Source organism: Homo sapiens, chromosome 13 (genome assembly GCF_000001405.40).
Source record: "Homo sapiens chromosome 13, GRCh38.p14 Primary Assembly".
In the NCBI taxonomy this organism is placed as follows: domain Eukaryota; kingdom Metazoa; phylum Chordata; class Mammalia; order Primates; family Hominidae; genus Homo; species Homo sapiens.
Genome location: NC_000013.11, coordinates 91,889,321 through 91,907,494, shown reverse-complemented (window position 1 = coordinate 91,907,494; position 18,174 = coordinate 91,889,321). Strand labels below are relative to the sequence as shown.

General features: G+C 33.6%; 1 protein-coding gene across 4 annotated transcripts in view; it reads right to left on the bottom strand.

Annotated features, from left to right (window-relative positions):
• Window positions 1-18,174, bottom strand: part of GPC5 (glypican 5) — a 1,468,617-nt gene that overhangs the window by 959,743 nt on the left and 490,700 nt on the right. The gene's annotated exons all lie outside the window — the stretch shown is intronic.

Sequence of the window (18,174 nt, the reverse complement as noted above, 5' to 3'; positions counted from 1 at the left end):
AGAGAGAGAGAGTAGCCTAATATATCTATATTATATAGTAGTATATACTTGTATATATAATATATATTATATATATACATGTACATATATCTTAGCCTAATATATATTATATATATATTTCCTAATTAGTTCCTCCAAGTAATAAGTGATTAAACTTTTTAATAATGATAATATCAATTGGACATGATAAAAATAGTTTTATTAATAAATCTTTTGATTTTTAAAATAAGCTTGAACACATTTCTTTTTGTAGGCATAGAGGGACTTAGAGTTAAGAATTCTAGTATCCATTAGGGATTTGGCAGTATACATCAATAACAAACAGTAGAAGGAAAACAATTATACCTATGTTATTAATGTGTAATAATATTCTTTATTTTTGAAAAATAAAATTATACATATATATATGGCACATCACTTAAATCCTCTGTGGCACTGTTATGTTATTCTTTACTCTTCCAGTATTCCAAGCAGATCACACATGTGGCATATATATATATATAAAATATATAAAAAATATATAACTGTACAAGGCAATATCATAAACCATAACTGTACAAATTTAAATAATCAAATTTTTAAGCAACTAAAATCTGCAAAATATTTTCTAAGTAGAGGAAACAATCCACTTTCACCTAGGTTCACCTAAACAAAGATCTGGTAAATCATGTCGTATGTAAAAGGGTCATTTCACCGGTGGTGAAAGCCATTTGAAATTTCACTACCTTCCCCAAATTACAATCATATAATGTCAACTTAGAATTAATAAAAATATTTAAACTCATTAGTCACAAAGATGTCTTAAATGCATGCTATATTCCAAGTCCTATACTAGGTGATTAGGATTATAAGAAGGTGTAAGACACAATTTTTGTCCTCATAATGCTCATTACTTAACCAGGAATATAGTAATTAACTCATTCATTTGTATGTTTATTCATTACATTTTATTACATTTTTAAAAAACCATAGATTTCAGCAATATAAATACTCTTATTTGCCTGGCAGAATAGTGTAATATAAACACAACTGAACAGTTAAAATACAACATTATGAAAGTAGCTGGAAGGAAATGCACATGCCAAGTGTGAGGAAAGATAAGACAAGTAGTAGACATTCTGGATATGGAGAAATCCACGTGGACTTAGACTAGGGAAAAACTGAGGGAGAAATTGTAACTTGAAGTAGCCTTTGATGTATTGAGGTAAGAAGAGGACAGCTGTGGTATGGTTAACGAGAACTTCAGGGCAAAGGATGTCATCCCAGCAAGGAAAATGGCAAAGGTATGTGAACAAAGCAGACAGGGAGAACGGGCCTCCATTCACAAAGCAGAGAGTACAAATGGTGGAAAGCAATGGATAGGAGGTCACACCCCGAAGATTCTACCCTGAATGTTTAAGACTCTCCATTGAGTGATACAATGAACTCTGGAGACTCAGAACAGGGACGTTGGCAGGGGGGGTGAGGGATAAAGAAACTACATGTTTGGTACAATGTACACTACTCAGGTGACACGTGCAATAAAATCTCAGACTTCACCACTATACAAGTCATCCATGTTGCCAAAACTACTTGTGCTCCAAAAACTATTGAAATTAAAGAGACATTTTAAAATGAAAACAAATACTATCATCTGAGTAATTTGTTTGCTTACATTAAATATCATAATACTTTTCAGCAAAAATATTCTCATTTTAATGTAACTTTCCTTCCCTATATTTGAGCAGAGTATTGCACTATCCATAAACACCCTCTGAATTTTTACAGAAATTGAAAAATCTTTGAAGAAAATAAAAGAAGGTTCTATGTTTGAGATTATGGCTATATTAAAGGGGTTTCAATAAATATCCAGTTCTTCCTGAGATAATATACTTCCAGTGACCAGTTTTAAGAAGTGGATCAAACATTTCCTAACTAGGTCCTTCAAGTAATAATCAGTGATTAAACTTTTTGATAATGATACTATCCATTGGACATGATAAAAATGATAATATTAACACATCTTTTGATTTAAAATATAACCTTGGACCCACTTCTTTTTGTAGGCATGCAGGGAGTTTAGAGTTAAGTATTCCAGTATTCATTAGGGATTTGGCAGTATACATCAATAACAAATAGTACAAGGAAACCAATTATTCTTTATTTTAGAAAAATAAAATTTTATACTCATATATATAAATAAATATATAGAGAGAGATAGAGAGAGAAAGAGAGTAACCATCTCTTAAATTATCTGTAGCACTGCTGTGTTATTCCTTATGCTCCCAATATCCTAAGTAGATTGCACATGTGGCTGTTTTATTAATGTGTTGAATATTTGTAATGATAGTGAATAATATGAATAAATAAATTGATAAGTGCATAATTATGATTTAGGCATTGCTTTACTCTATCTGGAGTTTGTCAATTCATGATAAACATCTTTTGGTGACCATGAATAAGAAACTCATAGACCTCAAAGTACGGGAAGTCTGACTGATTTAAGGCCATTTGCTGCTTCACTCTAAAATCTGTTTCTGCATTTGCCCCTCAGTCAATGACTGAGGGCAGCAAGATTGCTAATGCAGATCCCTCATTAGGAGACACAGGGCTTCTCTGAGGACCAGGCTTGGCTCAGGATTCCCTGAAGACTTTTCTTACCCTTCCTTAGACTGTACTTCATGCTCCAGTGCTTCCACTCAACCTTCGTTTCCTCTTTTCTTCACTCTAGGTCAGACTTTCCTCACAGCTGAGAGCTCTTCCAGGCTTACTCAGCTTCCTCTCCATTTTCTCTCATAGGAATTTCCCTTAATAAAATCCTCTTGTGTTTAACCCCTTTTTAACATCTACCTCTTGGAGGACCTGGACTAACCCACCATGTAATATTTGTATTATAATTACTCCCATTCTACAGCTGGAGAATCTGGGATCTGGAAAGGTTAAGTAACTTGAGTTACTCAAATAAGGCCACACTATATACATAAAGTGTGCTGCAAGGAACACACACTCCAAAATACAACCACCAATAAGTATCAATCCTGAAACCGACTAAGAAAAGGTAAAGATATAATTAGCTTGGTGCAAAATGTTATTTTTTTCTCTAATTACATTTTCTAAGGTTTCATTGTTTCTAATTAAGAAGGCATGTGTGATTTTCTTCAAAATCCTCCTCAACAAGCCAGGTGTGATGGCATGAGCCTTTAGTCCCAGCTACTCAGGAAACAGAGGCAGGGGGATCATGGGAGCCCAGGAGATTAATGCTGCAGTGAGCTGTGATCACACCACACTGACCATGTGACCATGAGTATAAAACTCACAGACCTCAAGCCTGGGCAACAGAGCAAGACCTGCCTTAAAAAAAAAAAAAAAAAAAAAGAAAGAAAAGAAAGTAAAACTAAGCAAAACAAAACAATCCTCCTCAACAAATGGTTGCATGTAACCAGCTAAACAGTAATATAACTGTTGTTGGCAGGGTGAGAAGAAACTAGCAGACTGTAGGTTTGCCGTACAGTGTTTCTGTTTCTCCAGAAAATACAGACATAATATAGGCAATGAAAACTGAGACTCTTTTCTTAATTTTAATTAAGCTATTAATTGATTTACATCATTTACTTACAGGCCAGAAAAGTTTCTTTAAAAAGGCAGGAATGTTGTTTCATGTTAATCTAAGGAATTGCTTACCTGCTTACCTTTTGGTTTTGTTCTTAATTATCACAGCTACTAATACAGTAAAATAATATTTAGATAAAATGTATTATAATTATAGCTGATAAAAATCTCATTCCAAGCTGTTATATTATTGAATATTTCAGAGTCACTCTTCTTATGAGTCATATAAATAAGGAAAAATACTGCAAAGTAGACACACATTACTTCAAATGAAATGTGATTTAATAAAATCAGTTATTCTCTTCCAGTTTTGTAATGTTCAAAATAACCACAATTGAAATAGTGATACATACACATCAGAACAGTTCAAATAAAAAAGAGAAATGATACCAAGTGTTGGCAAAGATGTGGAGCAACTGGAACTCTCTCCCACTGTGGATGGAAATGTAAACTGACGGAAACCACCATTTCCCACGTATGCTAAATCTAACCATATTCTATGACCTTGGGCATATACCCAACAATATTTACCAAAAGACAGATACATGAATGCTCAGAGAAGCACCTTTCAAAATAACCACAAACTGGACATTTATTATATTTGTATAATGATATAGTATATAGCAATGAGAACTAATGAATTACAACTATATGCAAAAAGATTGACAAATCTTATAAACTAAATATTGAATGAAAGAAGCAAGATACAGAACATATTCTATGATCTAATTTACTAAAAATTTTAAAACGAATCAGTTATGTTCCAAATCACCACAAGAGCTACCCTATGAGATAGTGTCTAGAAGAAATAATATCAAGTTTCCTGATTTTAGTATTGGATACACAGAAGTGCTAAGTTTGTTAAAAAAAAAAAAGTACTGAGCTGTACAGTTAAGATTTGGGTGTTTTACTGTTTGTATGTATTTTCAGCCTTATAAAATTATGTTAAAAAGCCTCTATGCTCTTTTTCTTAATATGTTTACAATAGACAAATTTTCATTGAGCCACAGTATAAATAAAAAAGACCCACACAGGTATGTTTAACATAGACTAAGTGGTCTGTCGTCATTAAGTGAGTACTTTAGGATCTAAGTCTGATATAAAACCTCACTTCCCTGAAGGCTTTAATTTGCATGCAAAAAAACATGGTTTCTAGATTAAATTTTTTTGTAACCAATAATTTTTATTTGAGTTCCCCTCGTGACATTTTAATAAATCATTAATTCCTTCTTTTTCTTTTTAAGGTACAAGTAATGGATAAAACATTTCAAAGATCCCTACAGAAGTCTCTTGACTTGAAATATTGTTCACATTACAATGAAAAGGATGGAATAAAACCAAAAAATATAGACAGGCAGATTTTTTGTTGGGGAAGTAATAGACCCACCATCTGTGCTTCTTTCTTCTAAGCAGAGCTGGGAATGAGTGACAGCAGTTGAACAGGAATACTTGCTCCCCAAGCACTACTTGTTTTTCATTAACAAGGAAAAAAGGCAAGCCCTGATATATTTACATTCTACAAAATTGTTTTTAAATGATGATAACAAGATCTTAGTTCCCTCTCTGTTGAACATATAAAATTTTAAAAGGCATTGTAATAAATTTATATACAGCACTTCAGGAGGAAGTCATTTCTCCTGACTTTACCAGCTTGTCCTATTTGAAACTGATACCATGCCCTATTGGCTGATAGTAATTTCACTTTATTTAGAATACAATAGAATTTGGCTCAGATTCACACCAAAAGTATAGTATTCTGATGTGCACTTACACAGTTTCAGGGGAAACAATATCTGGAATCTGACCCTGGAATTCATTACAAATCAGTTACAGGGGTCTGTCTTGGAATTTTTTGATAACTGGACTGGGACAGAATGTAAGAATAAATCATTAATAGTAGATGAGGAAAACACTTGATGAGAGCTTTCTTGTTTTACCTTTATTGCTATTTCTATCGGGGGTTAAAAAGAGAATGGGGGCCATGTTGTGGTTGTTATTCTTGTTGTTGTTTGATTGGTTTGTTTATTATGTTCTTGTATGACCTGGTTATGTGGCTGGATATTAAAATTCTTTCCATTTCCAGAGTCATAAATCTCCTAATTTCTAGGAGATTAAACACTGGTTTTATCTTTGGCTCTGGTAAAAATGTTGCTATCTTGGCTTAAAAGGAGGTCTGGGAAATATGTTGTATCTATTCATCAGTGAAGGTGAACTGCTTCTACAAGAACAAATTTTCCATACAAACCATTTCTAGGCCTCCCTTCCTGGTTCTGACAGCAAATGTGAAAGCAAGGACTAGAGATTTGGTTTTTGTAAGTTTCCTCAAATACTTGGGAAATACTGGATTCCATTGCCAAGTGTTGACTTTTGTACACTCAACTTGTACACAGCACTTTTTCTCTATGTTGAAAGTCCTAATCTTTGAAATCTCAGAATGGAAAAGAGTTATATGATTGATTTTATGTGCCAGGTTTATGGGACTACCTTTCATGGAAGATAGGAGGCTTACAGGGGATTTAGAGAAAGGAGACATCTGTGGAATCAATTCAAAATGATTAAGCCTTTTGTGATCCCACTATCTCACTTCAATTGTTGAGCCACAAAACTACTTTTAAGTTAATCTCTAACATTAATTTGGCTTTATAATTACATATAAATAATGTCTAAATTTGACACCTATGTTTTTAAACTTAATAATGAAGTCAAAATAAATGGAATTAAGGAGAGCTTATTATGATCTTTATTGTTATTTATATATAACAAATTTCCTATTAAGAATATAATATTTTATGATATGGATGTCATTAACATTAATAAAGATATTATCATGCTTTGTACAGCAACCAACCTGAAAATTTTACCATCCCACTGCAACAAATATAATAAAAACATGTTCAGAAAGACTTAGAAACTCATTAAAGAATGGATATTAATCACTGTTCACCCTAACTCCTGATTTGGCAAGGCGTGAATCTACGCATGCCAGTTTAGTCAGGTGGCAGGTAAGTAGTCCCATTGCATTTCATAAAATAAGCATCTGTGTGAATTTGAAAGATAATATTTTCACATGAAAAACTAATGACTGCACACGTAAAATCAGTAGTGTTTTGGAAGCTGTCATTTCAAAAAAAATTACCTACCTAATTAAAAAGTAGCACAAATGAACTTTTGCCTACGTAAAAAAATAGAACATTGCTTAGCCTTTTCTTAAACCCCTCCCCAATCTTACCAAGAAAGGATAAATACGTTTTTTATAGTCAAAGCTCTGTTTTTATGGTTTTAAATTTTTTAATCAAAAATTCAAAGCAAATGATAATAAATCTTTAATTTATAATTATCCTAATTTGATTCAAAGTGACTGTCCAAATATGAAATGATCAATTATAACTATAATCAATTACCAATAATGCTATACGAGTTTGAAATGTTATACTAACTTGCCTTTTCCAGGAATGCATTTTAAAATTAAACTCCTCTCAGTAAGATCAAGGCTATCCTTCATGGATTTATGATGATAGATAATCACCACTTTGTACTGATTTGCTGTCTCACTTCACTGTTTGATACCAACATATGAAAGTAAATATGCTATTTAGGGGAAAACTGTTATCTGAGTACTAATAAATTAAATGCTATTTTAAGCCAACAACAAAATGATTTAGAGTACAAATTTTATTTAACCAACTTTTCATTAGAAGCATTATAAAATTCTGAAAGATCCTAGAATCTTATATAGCTTTTTTGTATTTTTTTCAAATGTAATTGACACAAGCACGAATTAAATTTCATATTTAAAAAGCTTCTGGCTACATTAAAATATACTTTAAAATTACTTGCAAGATACGATAATTCTAAGATTACCAACATATCATGCAAATGAAACACCTAGATACTTCCTACCAACACATGATATAATAAAACCAAGAAGAACTTCTGAATTAGAATGTAGTAGTCGCCTAGGGCCATCATACCTAATTATCACAAACTTGGTGGGTTAAGAGGACAGAAATATATTCTCTCACAGTTCTGAAGCCTGGACCTCTGAAATCAAGATGTTGGCAGGGCCATACTCCCTCTGAAGACCCTCAGGAGGAATCCTCCCTTGCTCCTGGCAATCCTTGGCCTTCTTTGATTTGCGACTGCATAACTCCAATTTCTGTCTCCATCTTCACATGACCTTCTCCGTGTGTGTCTTTTCCTGTGTCTTATAAGGACATTTACATTGGATTTAGGGCCCACCTTCATCCAGGATGACCTCATCTCAATCCTTGAGTTAATTATATCTGCAAAGACCCTACTTCCAAATAAGTCGCATTCTAAAGTATCTAGTGGACATAAATTTTGGAGGTACAGTATTTAAATCATTACACAGAACATTGTAAAGACAAAAATCTGGAAACTACCTGAATGAAAACAGATATTCCCTTGAACTTCAACAAAAATCATATTCTATTTTCCCATGAGAAACATTTTATTACTGTAAAACAATATTTATATTTCACAAGTACACCTCTTAAATTGTAGCTTGGTTTTTAACTTTTATGTTTTTACTCTAATTCAGTTGGCCACAAGAAAAATAATTAGCTTTGGAAATTATCAGTACATGATATCTAGTATTTCCTATATTTTTAATAACTTCTACCTCCTAGCAAAAATGATGCAATGGACAATTTCTGTGTTCTAAGTTCACACACACAAACAGGAAAGGCACTTCAAAAATGATTTGTTCTCTTCTAAAGCAGAAGCCCAACCACCTGCTCTGAATCTAAAAGTTTCCCAAAAGCAATGAAGGGCTAGTTTATTATGAAGGTGTTGATAGCTGATTCTGTGGAGACTCACACAGAAACAAAGAATAAATTTTAATCACACTTAATGCTAATGTGATAGTAAGGTTGTGACAATATTCAAATATGACCAATTTCATTAAATTAGCTACACTCAGGCTTAGCTTAGTTGTCCAAATTTATTATAAATAGCTCAGAAGAAATAATTCAGCTCTTCTGTTTTCTATTTCTTATTTTTTGTTGATGCTTAAGAGTAAAAAGATATTTTAACTGAATTTTTTTTTCTTAGCAATCAGTTCTCTTATTTTATCACCATAAGAATGTAAGGGGCCGTAACAGGTCACAGAATCTAGCACTGCCTTCAACAAGAAATACACCTAGAGCAGGAATATAGTACTTGGCATTCATCTTTAGGCCTATAACCTAATAGATTTTTTTTTTGTCTGTCTTTGGTGACAGTAACATAAATTTAGAGCTGGAAAGGATCTTAGAGGTCATCTAGTCCCACCCAAGCATCTTTTAAAACAAAATAAAGAAGTATGTTTATTTCATCATTTTGTACTTATACACTGTGTATTTCCAGAAAAGCCTTTGAGACCGCTTAGAATAAAAGGCACAAGCACTATAAAACAAGGGCAAAATGACAGAATAATGAAAAGGAGGAGGTGACAATTATACGCGAAGACCTAGGGAAGGAAACACTACCCTTCAGCCTAATATTTAGTCCTAAGCCTCTTGTTACTGAAGGCCAAAAGGAAAACCAGAATGCAAATATGTGTCATTAGTTAATAAAATAGTATCTGCATATTGTCAGCAGCTATTTTTTGGTAACTCTAAACTCTTAAGCAAAATTTATAAGTCTTTAAGCAACAGACAATGGACAATATAATAAAACAATCTTCAACAGCAATTTCAAAACTTTTAAAGATGTAAGTACAAATAATCTTTTCTTATAGGATGCTTTGTTGAAAGCTGCCTGCATGATGGTATTTTAAATTACATGATGTTAAATTGCCTGCATGATGGTATTTTACTGGGACCTGGTTATATGACTTGGTGAAGAATATAATCTTTGATAACTTAGAAGACTGAATGGTTAATATCTCTCTGAATTGTTTTTGTTTGTTTCTAATTGATATTTTATTTTATCCCTCATAGAGAATATATTTTCTGGGAAATACACTGAAGTACAGTAAAAAAAGAAGCTCACAGTTAAAGTGTTGAGGTAAATCACAAAGCAGAGGTTGTGTCTGAACTGTGTGGTCGCACTGCACCACACAGCAAATAGAAATATGGGGGAGCACTTTACCAGCAGATAAACACCAATGAGAGTGGGAACAGCAGTCACGAGATGTGTTTTAACAGAGAGATAGTTAATTAAATGTTTTCTAATACATTTATTGAACCTACATTTAATGGAATTTTTTTCCTTTCTTCACTTTGGCAAATGTGCATATTTTTATAGAGAACACAGTTTTACAGATGTAATTTTCAGACTTTAAGTCAGGCCCATCACCAACGCTCTATGAATTGGATGGCCTTGATATGTGGTCCAGGTATTTTTGAATCAGGGATGGGAGCCTATCCAACAAGTCAAAAGCTGATTTTTGTAGCTTTCATTATGAACACCTCTCTGACTGCTCTTCTTTCTGACTTTACCAAACAAATTACTTAGGATTCTTAAGTGCCAGGCATATTATTAACATAAGGACTAAATAAATTTTAAAAAGAAATGCATACACATGCACAGGCGCACACACACACACACACACACACACACACACACAGCATTCTCTATATTTACTTCTACTTTGAATAGCAAAAAAGCTGTGTTCCTGGGCCTGTGGAAAAAATATGAAGTTTGAAAAGATTTGTAAATAACTTTTTCTTAATGAAAACAACCCTGTAGTAATTACTATTTTAAAAAAATATTGGAATTTGAGCATAACACAGTTTCAATCTTGTCTCTATTCCAACTTAAAGTCCTGTCCAACAGTTCCATTTTATGGTCTGTGGAATCATAAAATAAAAATTTATATATTTTAAAGTATTTGATGAAAAAGGAGGAGGAGGGGGAGGAAGAAGAGGAGGAGGAAGAAGAAGAGGAAGAGGAGGAGTTGGGAAAATAACTGGGATTCCTGTTCTTGCCTCACTTTAACTACACTACAGCCAAATTCCTACTATCAAGCAGTCCTCAGACAACAATCTACGTATGTAACAGAAATTAATTTGTGTTCGCTTGTATATATGAGAAAATTGCTCCTCCAGCTATGTCTTGGCAAACTCAGTTACACAGAAAACAGCAGGACTTGGTTCCATAAAACTACATGTGCCTAGGGACTTTTAGATTCCTAATAGTGGTAATTACTAACAAACATATTTGGCTGACTCAGTATAGGAAAAATGTGCATATACAGGATTTCAGAAGACCTCTGGAGTCTAAATAGAATGGAAGTTTCCGGTCTAGATGACCTAGAGATTCCACACCTACAGAGACATTTGGCCAATCTCCCCTTCATCCTTCATACTTCCCCCGTTCTCCTTTCTCAGTCCTTTCATGATTTCTGCCAGGTCCGTCAGTGTTTACATACTCTGTCCCCCATGTCTGGAAAGTTCTATCCCTTCGGAACCTTTCCTCAGTCATCTGTACTAAGCTTACAAAGGGGGTTTACAGATGTGATTAAATTAAGGGTCTTAAAATAGGGGGCCAGTGCGGTGGCTCATGCCTGTAATCCCAACACTTTGGGAGGCGGAGGTGGCTGGATAACGAGGTCAGGAGATTCAGACCATCCTGGCTAACACGGTGAAACTCCATTTCTACTAAAAATACAAAAAGTTAGCAGGCCTTGGTGGCACGTGCCTGTAGTCCCAACTACTCAGGAGCCTGAGGCAGGAGAATTGCTTGAACCCGGGAGGTGGAGGTTGCAGTGAGCTGAGATTGTGCCACTGCACTCCAGCCTGGATGATAGAGCGAGACTCTGCCTCAAAAAAAAAAAAAAAAAAAATTAGAAAAAATTTTAAATGGGGGGATTATCCAAGATTATCTGGGCAGGCCCTAAATACAATCACATGTGTTCCTGTAAGGCTGAGGCAGAGGTCATTTTTTACAGACAGAAATGGAGAAGACAATGGGACCACGGAGGCAGAGATTGGAGTGATGCTGCCACAAGCCCAGGAATGCCAGAGCTCAAAGAGGTGAGAAATAGATTATCTCCTAGAACCATTAGAGGGAGCTTGGTTTTACAGACACTTTAATTTCGGCCCAATTACACTGATTTCAGATTTCTGATCTCCACAACAGTAAGAGAACAAATTCCTGTAGATTGAAATCACTCCGTTCATGATCGTTTGTCCTAGCAGCCACAGAAAACTAATACCACCCCCAAACTGGAGCATCCTTTCTAGGTTACTTGCTCTCATTTGTGCAGTTTGTCAGAATTGAAATGGAGCAGCTTTAAAGTCATGTTAAAGAAAAAAAAAAAAAGAAAGAAAGAGAGAAAAAGATAAAACCTGACAACAGAGCCGGGAAGGCCAAAAGGGATGGTTCTCATGCAAGTATGCCTGGTAATAAGAACCATCAGAAATGACTACAAAAACTACAAGCTTGCAAAAAGGTCTTTGTAGCCTTACACAAAAAAACATTTCTGTGAGAATATCTGCCCAGAGACTGCTTGTCCAACCTCAGCACCTTGTAGTCAAGGGTAATTATCTCAAAACAATTACATAGTCTTCCTCATTTTTTCTTTATAAGCCATTGTCTTCCTTTAATTCCTGTATATACACACACAGTTCACTGTGGCACATGTATTCCCAAGGCAATGCCCTATCCCCAAATAAACATTATTTTATATTAGAGACCCTCTCTCTAAAGCTTGTCATAAATGGTGTCCAGAAGTGGGATCTGAAGCCAGATCACTTCCAGAAGGAATTGGCAGTTCTAGGAACCAGCATGTGGGAACCACCTGAGCCCCTTGAGAGCTCTGCTTCCATGCTCGCCTTTCCTGCCCTGCTGAGTCTTCACTCAGGCGGACCTTCTCTCTTTTTTGTAGAGGCCTTTTTTTTTTTTTTTAAGTTAGGGATTTGGTTTGGTTAGAAGGCCAGCTTCGATAAAACATCTTAACATCCCTCCTAGGATGATAAAAGACTTTTTATCTTTCCTGGCAATTGCTTTCTGGTTTAAAGACAACTGTCCTTCTGGCTTCAGTACTCTAGTTTCTGCAAAATTAACATTCCGTCTCTGAGACATGTCTTGCTGGTGAATTTACCCTTGTTATTTTTGCATGCCTAATTTAATATTTTGTTTGATCTGCACACCTGGGTTAAAATTTTTGTACACACTCTGATTTGGGTTTCATTTTATTAGTGATGGATGTCTGCAAATGATTGGTTCTTTCCCCCTGCTTGTTTCTGTAAATCTTCTGAGAACAAAACAAAACATTCTAAATGGTGGGTGCAGAATGACTAATTAAAAATCACTAAGGAAGTCACAACCATCTAAAATGCCAATCCAAACTTATGACCTTCCTTGACAAGATTTATAGGATTGTCTTTGCTCTCGAGAGATTTATAAAAAATGGAATGGGATTCTTAAATAGTAAGGCATGCCAAGCTTTCTGGGACTCCAGCCAGATACATGGCTTTTCCTCGTATGTTGTTGGATCAATGGTCATCATGGGGAAATCTCCAAGCTTGTTTTTGCTTAGTACAAAATTAAGAGACTGCAACCATACACTTAACATGTAGAACCTTCAAAGTTCTCTAATTTTTTCCTACCTACTTTGAATCTACTGACTTTACTGCAAGTGTTGAAATAAAATTCACTGGTTATGGCATGCAAGCCAAGATTAAAAAACAAACAAACAAACAAACAAACAAAGTCCTGAAGGGCTACCAAATGGATGGTTTTACAAATTATCATAGCTCCATGACAACCAGCAAGTTAGACACCTTCTGGAAATGTACATTTACATTTGTCTGACAATTGCTTAGGGTGATGGAACAGATAATTGAATAATAGATTTCTAAAAGAAAAATATCTAAATAAGTGTTTATAAAAGTTAGGCACTTAAATCAAAAAGGACAAAATCTTGATCTCAGAGCAATAATATATTTATATCCAACATAAAAATTGCTTTGTATGCCATGCAGGGGCCAGAAAAAAACTGGAAAAAAAAAAAACCTGGTAAAATGCTTTCTTGCCCTCATAGACTAGTTAAGTAAAATAGACCAGCAAAGAATGATAGATTTCAAGGCCACACGGGGATTTTGTTTTTCTTACACAATTACGCTATTCCTAGCTAAAATGTAAACAATGGAATATATAACCCTAAACTCACTTGAAAATGAAAAAAAAGGAGGTAGGGGAGAAAGGGTAAATGAGATTCAAAAATAAGTTGTATCTAAAATGTTGGTCCACAGACATTGTAAGACTATCTATAGGGGTCATAGAATTTAGTCATGTAAACAGGTCCTATTTTGTCAGATACATAATTTGGAACCAACTGTCTTTTATAAATTAGTATTACTATCTTATGACCAAAATTCTAGAATGAAAGCTATAAGATCTTTAGTTGTGTATGTATGTGGCTTAGGTATGTTCATACACATGCACATGTTTTATGGTATATGTTGTGTCTACATGATAAAATCTGGAGTAGAGGGCCAGAAATCCCTTTAAAAATTCTCTTCAGATTGATTTAGACAGATGCCTGCTCATATAAAATATATAGTGATAAACCTAAATGCCTTTTAGTTCACATGGCTTAAGTAAATCTTTAATAAATAAGTTGGTTTTACATTTGGTGAAGAAATAAAAATACAAATAAAAATACAAAAATACAAAGTCATTGGCATACATTTTTTTCTATGGTTTACTGGTCAGACAGGATTATATTTGTCTCTGCTAGATGTTTCAAGGTGTTAGGATTTGACGCAAAGTTTATAAAACTATCAAATCTGCCTAGAAACAGAATGATCTTTGTTTGTGTAAATCTTTGATATGTGAGAGTAATTTAATATTGCTTGTTTAATAAAAACAGCTACATCTTATGAGTTATCAACAAAATGTCCACGCAAATATCTTCAAGTCTCTTATTTAGGAAAACACTTGACATTCACAGGCTATAAAAATGGTTAACAGAGAAAAAACTTCAAATGATGACTCATTTTATCTAATATCTTAGTTTTCATAAGTAGCTAGTTATAATTGTTAAAGATAAATAAATCAGGTAAATATAAAAAAGATAAATGTTTGTGAATAAACTTTTTGTTTAATTTAAAATCTTAAAGTTTTGTTGTGTTGAATTAAGTGACAGATACTCACTAAATGTCAGGGTCACTTTCGAATAAGATACAAAACTGAAACATAAATTGCTAAACATAAATATAATTTTGTTACTGGCTTCCTATATTTTATAGAAAGTCTAAATATATTTGGGTCTATTAAGACATAACAAGTTACATTCTTTGGAATCATGTTTCTAAAATTATATAATAATTTTTATCTACAAAATACTAATTTGTAACAGAGTTAAAGATTGCTTGCTTAGTAGGCTTTCACTAAAAATTAGTGTTACTAAAAAGTAAAATAACAATTAATATACATAATTTTGTATATAAAGTGTATCAAAAATGAAATGTTTTTAATGAAAAATGTAAGAAAAGCATAAAAGTGTTCTTTATTGAGAAAAAGAATATTTTTTCTAATTTGGAGTTTATTTAAAGGTTGTTTCTAAATAAAAATTTGGAAAAATACAAAAACATGGTAAAAAGGAACAAGTAAGTAGGAGAGAAAAATGTGAAGAAAGTTATGGGTATGAAAATGTATTTTTGGTAAGAAGAGTTGAAAAGAAAAGAGAATACATTTTTATGAGAAAAAATACTATGTGGTCAATGTTTGTCCTGAAGTAAAATGACTAGATATGTTATTGTTTCAAAAATTATATAAATTAATAAGAATGTAATATGTCACCAGTCATATTTTTTGTTGTGTTAACTCTTGTTTATAGCTATATTGTGGCTACATTATCAATGTGAGTATTCTAAAGATTATGTGAAATTTATAAAAGTCTGATAGTCCTGATGTGATGCTATCAGTCATGATTTGGGTTGTTAAATAGCTAAATTTCCTTGTCAATTATAAACTTTTACTATATTTTTATCCATAGTTGTTCTAAGTTTTTGTCACCCACAGTTTTGTTTTGAATTCTCTTGAGGCATCTGCAATCAGATTCATGGAAAATACTCTAATAAGCAGTCTTAAATGGAAGTTTCGAATAACTTTAAGATAAATGAGCTAAATAAAACACTAAACTGTAATGAAGAAACTGATGAATTCATGAAACTGCAAATCAAGGTCAAGCTGAACAAAATTTAACCACATGAGATAAAGTAACTGATGAAAATAATGTTTTATGACTTATTTGAAACGTTGTTGATTCTTACTTAATTCTCCAGATTTATGGACATTTTCTCTCATAAGCTTTTGGTAGTGTATAGCAATTTGGCACAACATACTTTTTATGAACAAAGGTGGAAATATTTGTTTTTTCTCCCTACTTGATCCCCCCAAATGCAGAAACTATTCATGAGCATTTGTCATTTTTTGTGGCCGTATGGTTATTTGCATAAATTCAATAAAAATTTGCTATCTCTTTATAGAAGGATACAATCGAAAACATTGGTTGTATTACCAAGGCTTTAAACAGAACATAATATACAAGAACATGCAAAGAACATCTGCCTTCAAAGGTTCCCAGCCTTACAGTGAGTAAGTAAAAACTGTCACTTCCTGGCAAGCCTAGGAACATTAAGACAGCACATAAAATCTGCCTTGGCGAAGCTTCCTAGGCTCAAGAGGTTTTTAAATATGAGATTCTTATGTGATCAATGTAGACAGAAAAAGTTGTTTCTAAAAAAAATCTTTAATACATCTGTTATTAGATTGTAGCTCTGTAAGTATATTCAAGTTCTTGTTATCTACCTATAGACCAGATTAGATACTGAATTATTTTAGATTCCTCCAATCTAGCTTTCTTCCACAGAATTACCAAAAATGGGAACAGCTCTGTTCTTGATACCCTGTAAGTTGAAATTAGATTAATTTTTAAAAGGAAATTTCATACCTGGTATATGGGCCACACAAAATTGCACCAAACTGCTTGATGCCATAACCAGAGACATTCAAAGTGCAAACTAGGATAAGAAATTGATGTGTACACACTGTAGATAGCTTTTCCCAAGATGCTGATACAAAACTCCAAATCACAATGAGACTTCTACTCCTCTTAATGCCTTCTTTTTTGCATGACAGGATAAAAATCATTTGATTTATCAATTAGTTTAAGACTAATGACTCAAAACTATTATGCAAACTGAGATTATAATATTACCATTAATTTTGCTTTGTATTTTACCTTTTAAAACTTTGTATCTGTTACTTGTTGAATTACTGCAGGACAACTCCTAACAGAATAATGCTGGCCCAGCAATTTTAAATGATAGCCAAAGACTACAAAACAAACAAAATTGAACTTAGTAATGGACTCCAGGAAGCCTGAGTGCCACTCACTACAAACTTCCCTTGTTGCTCAAATATAGCTAAAAGAGTTTTAACACTGACCCCTAGTAACCATTTACTGCCCCCAATGTGAGATCAGACCAACAACCCAAGACAGACTCATCCCAGCACTGAGAGACAACTGAAACCTTACTGCAGGATGACTGAGCGGTGACACTTTTAGGGAAAGATCTTGATCAAAGTAGAAAAATGTGAAATTTTTCAGGATTAAAATAGAGTCATTTATTTTAGAAATAAAAATAGAGCCTGCCAAATGCAGCTGGAGAAGGCCATGAAGGGGGAATTCTCATGCATATATGCCTGATAACAAGAACTACCACGAAAGACTGCAAAAACCACAATCTTACCATTGCAACCTTACGCAAAAGAACACTTCTGCAAGGACATATGTCCTGTCCAACCTTGGAATGGCACCACCCCTGTTATTGATCCTTGTAATCAAGGATAACTATGTCAAAACAATTGTGTAATCCTCCACATTTTTTCTTTGAATACCTTTGTCTTCCTTTACCTCCCTGAATGCACACATAGTTGACTATGGCACATATATTCCTACTGAAATACCCTATCCCCAATCCAGTGTTCTATTAGAGAATTTCTCTCTGTTTGTTATTTAGGTTGACACCTTGCACCTATTGATTGATAACATTTTATTTTCCAGGATGCACTTATCATTGTTGTAATTAAGTATGAATTGTGCAATCATTTGCTTAATGCTTGTAACTTCCTTCTTGACTGTACTTTTGTTGAGGTCAAGTAGTATGTCTGTTTTAATCATCCTCTAGTTCCAGGGCTTGGCAAATTCCTTGAACTATACAAGCTCAATGCATATTTGTTATGTGCGTGAATATATGACTGATACTAAAGTAATCTAAAAAATTATTTATAGCGATGATTTATCTTTCTCAGAATTGGTCCTTATAAATGTTATATGAATCATTCCAAAACAGTACCAACTCTAGTAACAAATCCCATGAATGTGTAATTTCATTTTAATGCTGATTTGGCCCAATTTTGAACAGCATCTGGATGATACTTTGTAATGGAGTCCCATCCAAGTTCCAATTAAAAAAGAAAAAAAAAATCAGTAAAACAAAGCAAACAATGTAAACTTAAAACAACACTAATTACTAAAACTGACACCCAATATGCAGACTAATCTAGTAGGAAATTTTACTAACTATAAGAACAATTAAGTTAAACTGTCCCATCCATAGTTTATTT